This window comes from Homo sapiens, chromosome 5 (genome assembly GCF_000001405.40).
Source record: "Homo sapiens chromosome 5, GRCh38.p14 Primary Assembly".
Lineage (NCBI taxonomy): Eukaryota > Metazoa > Chordata > Mammalia > Primates > Hominidae > Homo > Homo sapiens.
Genome location: NC_000005.10, coordinates 40051995 through 40057954, shown reverse-complemented (window position 1 = coordinate 40057954; position 5960 = coordinate 40051995). Strand labels below are relative to the sequence as shown.

The 5960-nt window shown below is 37.5% G+C and overlaps 1 long non-coding RNA gene across 1 annotated transcript; it reads right to left on the bottom strand.

Annotated features, from left to right (window-relative positions):
• Positions 1-4630: 4630 nt before the first annotated feature.
• On the bottom strand, positions 4631-5664 carry LINC00603 (long intergenic non-protein coding RNA 603). The gene is made up of 2 exons (NR_104633.1): positions 5479-5664; positions 4631-5006 (listed from the first exon to the last, which is right to left on the bottom strand). It is a non-coding gene; the product is annotated as a long intergenic non-protein coding RNA 603 (long non-coding RNA).
• Positions 5665-5960: the final 296 nt, after the last annotated feature.

The following is a 5960-nucleotide window of genomic DNA, read 5'->3' as shown; positions in this document are numbered from 1 at the left end:
CATTCCTCTCCTACTTTGCTTTAGCCTGGGAAATTTTGTTTCTAAGAAGTCAAGTACTGCGAATATTTTGACATTTTTACAACTTGGATGTATTTACTTGAAATATTTAAATTTAAGCTTGCGGACTTATAGATTTAGCATTATATTTTACAGGTTTTTACTTTCTCCTAGTGAACTGGTATCTGAAGAAATTAATAGGGCAAATAGAAAAATGTTTTATAACGTCATTCCTGGAATGTTTGTCTTATGTTATTTGAAATAACTCAGAAGTTGTTTAAACCCTGGTGGCTCCTGGGAACTGTCATTCGTTTACCTCAAAGAGGCACAAGCTCTTTTTTGAATGTGTTTTACAGCACCTTCTTTCAACCACAACTGAATATATCCTTCACTTCTTAGAATGGTACAAACACTTCTTAGTTTGAATCTTTTTGGATCCAAAGCTGCTTGATTTGAATGTAGTAAACCTTTTATTTGTGATTCTAGATTCCCAGGGGAAGATGGTGGGTCTATGCAATTTTACCTACAGAATGCCTACAAGGCCTTTGTAAAATTAGGTCTCAGTAACATTTTAATAACAACAATTTCTATTTTTCAGTCTCATTACTACTTTCGAATTATAAGATGTCTATACTACACTCTAAAGAATCTCACAAGTAGGTTAGAAATGTGAAAAACTGAACTCTCTTCTTAATGGCCATCTTAGAAACCACAGATAATTTAAATTTAACTAGGTCTAATCCAACCAGTTTTCTTTAATCAAGACCATGTGTAAACTAAATTTTATTAATTTAAATATTTTTCCTTTTACTTTGCCTTGTTAAAAAGACTTAAGGCAGGTAGCAAGATGCACACCAATAACATAAAAAAGGGGTATTAGTTCATTTAATGTTGCTACAAATGAATTCCTGTGGCTCACTAATTTATAAAGAAAAAAAGTTATTTGGCTCATAATTCCCATGATTGGAAAGTTCAAGTTTGGGGTACTGCATATGGTGAGGGCCTCAGGCTCCTTCTACTTCTGGCAGAAAGCAAAGGGGAACTGGTTTGCATAAAGACCACATGGCAAGAGAGGAAGAAAGAGAGAGAGGGAGGCACCAGGTTTGTTCAAACAACCAGCTCCTTTGGGAACCAATAGAGCAAGAACTCTCTCACCGCTAAGGGAGGATATTAATTTATTCATAAGGAAACTGCCTCTGTGACCCAAACACCTCTCATTAAGCCCCATCTCCAACACTGGGGATATATTTTAACATGAGATTTGGAAACATGCAAACCATAACAGAGGAATGGGGGAATGAAGGTGAGAAAAATAAGATAAAACCACTAGCGTGATTAGCACACCACTATGCTGCTCTTTTCTAGTGATAGGAAACAGAGATACATCATTAAGGTTTCTGGCAGACCACAAAAATACAGAATTATGGTTGATTAACCATCTCAAAGGGTCTAAACAATAAAACAAAAGCAATTGCTTAGAAGAGTAAAACATTCCTCAATGTTGATTCTGGAGAACCATTTTTGTTTTTTGTCCTCAGAGAGAAAATATGGTGCCATGTGTTAAACCATGTTTTCCACAACATTATTTTGGTAAATACAGAAGTGTGCTCTACGAAGCTATTTCTTACAATGTTCCTCAAAGTGTATTAGAGACACCAAGTTGTATAATAATTTAGAAAAAAAAAAGAAAAAGTAAAAAAAAAAAAGTACAGGATTGTAAAACATGATTCAGGTATGCAGTTTTTTTCTAGTAGTTTGGCTTGATTCACAGACAGAATAGTGTAATTAGAAAAAAAATGTATCTTTGTAGTCACCACCTGACCTCAAAAAACACATAGCAAAAATCTGATATCAAGGTAAGGAAGTAGTGAGAAAAAAATTTAATTATCTGTTTATTGTAAAGTATATACATTTTGAAAAAATTGAAAACAATAAGGCCTATGTAACTTAATGTCCTCTTATATAGCATAATGTCCTTGAGGTTCATCTATATTGTCACATATGGCAGAATATTCTTTTTTTCTTTCAAGCTAAATAGTATTTAGCTTGGGCACTAAAATAGTGTAGCCTGGAGTTTTGAACTGAAATATCCAGTAATGAGATTTTAAAGTTTGAAGAAGTAGTGGCTGATTTGAAATAATTGAGGAACAACTGGAAATTGGCTTGGGAAAGATAATGGCAGCAAGTCCAAGAGGAGAAACAGAAGATCCTTGCTAGAGGGATTCTCTAGATTCTTCCAGTTCAGTTTCCTGTTTCCCAGCATAATCACAATTAACTCTTGGGAAAACAGGTGTAATTTTTCTTTCCTTACAAAGCCCTATATCTAAGAAATACTACAATTTTCACTTTAGCACCAAGATAAAATTTATATAAACAGTAGAGAAGTAGCAGCCATGGACTCCACAAAGACTGAACAGAGAAAAGTATGCAATTAAAACAAACAAAAAGCTCACAACTTAATTTGAAGCAGTTAGGGATCCTCCCTTTACTAGTGAACAATGAGGCAATCTATTTTTAGCACGCAGTGAAGTTTGGCTCAAAATTTAATTCAAGGCATTAGAGGGCTCTGTTAATTCCCTGCTTATATTTCAGGAGTACTAACGTGGCTTACAAGAAACCAGAGCAAACTGATTGATTTCAGGTTTAAATTTACTTGCCTTGGGCACTGAACTTAAATTGTCTGGGGTTAGGAGAAAAACAGTGAGAAAGATATACTGACATGGTTGTAAATTGCTCTGACCTTCACTACACACTCAGCACTCTAGCATTACTCAGTGCAGAGTAGCCAATTTAGTAAGCCACAGGTACCAATAATTACTAGTTATTAAAGCCTAATTGTGTGCCAGACATTTTGCTAGGTGCTTTATATTCCTTCTCACTAATATTCATATGCTGGGTTGAATACTGTGTCTCCCGAATGATGTCTACCTGGAACTTCACCCTGTGACCTTATTTGAAAATGGGATCTTTGCAGATGTAATTAGGTTAAGATGAGGATATATTGGATTAAGGTGGGTCCTAATACAATAACTGGTGTCCTTATATGAAGAGCAAACAAAGATACAGAGACATGCCTAGGATGAATGCCACATGATGACGGAGGTAGACAGTATAGTGGTGACCTGTGAGCCAAGGGTTGCCAACCGCCACCAGAAGCCAGGAGAGAGGCATGGGATGATTTCTCTCCCAGAACCTCCAGAAGGCACCAACTCTGCTGACACCTTGATTTCAGGCTCTGGCCTCTAGAACTATGTGAGAATAAATTTTTATTTCTGTAAACAACCCAGTTTGCATTAGTTTGTTACCTCTGCCGTAAGAAACTAATACAATTCACGTTAACCCTCAAGGTAGGTGTCAGTTTCTTTTAAAAAAAAAATTTTTACAACATAACCCGACTAAAACTTGTGCTCACTCCACTGTCTTTTAATCAAGCTCACTAAACAGTAGAGTATAGCAATTAGGTGATCTGGTGAAAAAAATTATCCCAAAATTTATGCTAATTGACCACATATGCTTTTTCATTTCAATTCCAAGAGCAATTCTTTCCATCGGGAGGTTGACTGCTCCTTCAAGATGGTCATTGCTACTTTGTCAAAGCCTGTAACCTGGGAGATAGCCAAATAGGATGGCTTTGGTGATTTCTCACCACAACAGGGCTCCTGTGCTTGCAGGAAAGGAGATAATAGATTTTGGAAGACCAGGCAATGCAAGGAATGAGTCTGCACATTCTGGGTCAGATGCCTGGAATAATGTGTTACAGGCTTCTAGGGAATGAGGGGGAATCCACAGCATTGATGGCTCCTTTGTTGATGCTGAAGAATCTGAGGATTACAATGAACAGGTTTGGGAAGAAAGTCAGGAATTTTAAGTGGCACAAAAAAGTCTGGTTATAAAAATGGGCACTGATTAGGTCACGGGCAGGGCAGAATAGAAGAAACCAGGAATGGAAACTGGACTTAGCGAAAAGTACAAAATCAGCTATGAGGCACTCAGACAGGAACTCACAGACAGAAGCTGGCCTGGAAAGAAGTAGTGTATAAACAGTAGACACTCTGAAGAATCTAGATTCTTTCCAACCCGGAGGATGAAGACAGCAAGTAGGTTGGGCAGATCAGTGTCAAGAGATTCAGGACAGATGGACAGATCTAAATGGAAACAGATTGAATCTATGGCAGGGGTCAAATATCAGAAACTCAAGCTAAATTCACAGGGAACAAATAAGAAGGGCTCTTGTTTTTCATCCCCTCACAAAGTTCTGGGTTTCTGGTAAAAAGTAAGGGGGTATTTTACATGTTCAAGGGTTCTCTGCAGAGTGACAGAAAGCTTAATCCCAGGCCCTCCCTCCCCATTACAGAAATTTTGTTTTATTTATATGACACTTAATATATATGTGCAGTTTATAGATGTCTTAAATTTCCTGCCAGAAGGTATGCTCCTCTTGGTGTTAACGGATATTATTTTTGAGCACCTACTGTGTCCCAGGTATTCTTTGTCAGTGCTTCACATACATTATAATGCCATTGTTTCTTTTGAATGCACACAATCCTGAAAAGTTTAAGATGTAGAGAGATAAGTAACTCATTTATGGTCACACAGCTAGAAAGAGACAGAACTATAAATTAAACTCAGGTAGTCAAATTTCACATTCAGTTTTTATTGTCATTGATGGTGTTTTCCCTCCTATTTCCCATGGCTTATTTATTGCTACCAATTCACAGTCCTTACAGCAACAGCAAGTTAGATGATCTGATGAGGATTACTTTGTTTCCACACAGGAGTATAGTGTGTACTGCTTCCTAGAGCTTGATCTTTCTGGTTGCAGATTTTGGTAACGGTGGAAGACTACATCTTCTAGGGGAGCTCATGGTAAGAATGAAGTAGAAGAGGCAGGAGTCCAATGAGTCATTCTATATCATCAGGTGCCCAGACTGCAATCGCGAAGGAAGAATTGTTTGCCTTGAGGCTTATCATACTTCCCACAAGGGCAGGGCTTGGTGTCAGAGTGTAATCTACACAAAACAGAGAATCAGAATCTATTTAGAGAGGGAGTGCTTCACAGAGGATAAAATAACTAAGATTTCAGAACTATCTTGACTTTTTCTTCCGTAAAACTTTACCTAGTAAACTCCTATTCAATGAAATGGTGAAGCCCTGTCTCTACTAAAAATACAAAAATTTGATGGGTGTGGTGGTGTGTGCCTGCAATCCCAGCTACTCAGGAGGCTGAGGCATGAGTATCACTTGAACCCAGGAGGCAGAGGTTGCAGTGAGCCAAGATCACACCACTGCACTCCAACGTGGCAACAGAGTGAGACTCTCTCAAAAAAAAAAAAAAAAAAAAAAACAGCTCTGCTACTTTAGCAGTGTGGGGTAGTTGGAGAACCAAATGCATGTGTAGCCACTTAACAGGCATCTAAAACTTGAACAAATTACTTCTTTTGAAACTCAGTTTTTTCCTCTGTGAAGTGAGATAATACTTACCTCGTTGTCTGTGTGAGAGAGTTAAGTTTCCACGCTGGCCCACGGAAAGCATTTGGAAAATTGTTGTTCTCTTATCTTGATTACATAGGATTCCAAACTGTGTGCATTTCTTTCCAACTAAAATACGAGTTCTCAATGTTGGAATTGATGGTGGTCCTCATTTTTTTCTATTCGTTTTAGCAAGTGCCTAAAGAATTTATAAAATAAGTTATTTTATAAAGAAGAGTAACTTTGTTTATTATGATTAGTTAATTCATACATGGGTAAGCTGACTTGATGAGCTCCACACCACTTAGGACTAACAGCAGTGATTTGGAATTGAATTTCTCATGTAGTGGCTGTGGAGAAGACAGTGAGAAGTGTTGGTTCATTTTCTGTTGCTTTAACAAAATGCCACAAACAGGGTAATTTATAAAGAAAAGAAGTTTATTAAGTTCAATGTTCTGGAGGCTGGAAAGTCCAAAGTCGAGGGGGCTACATCT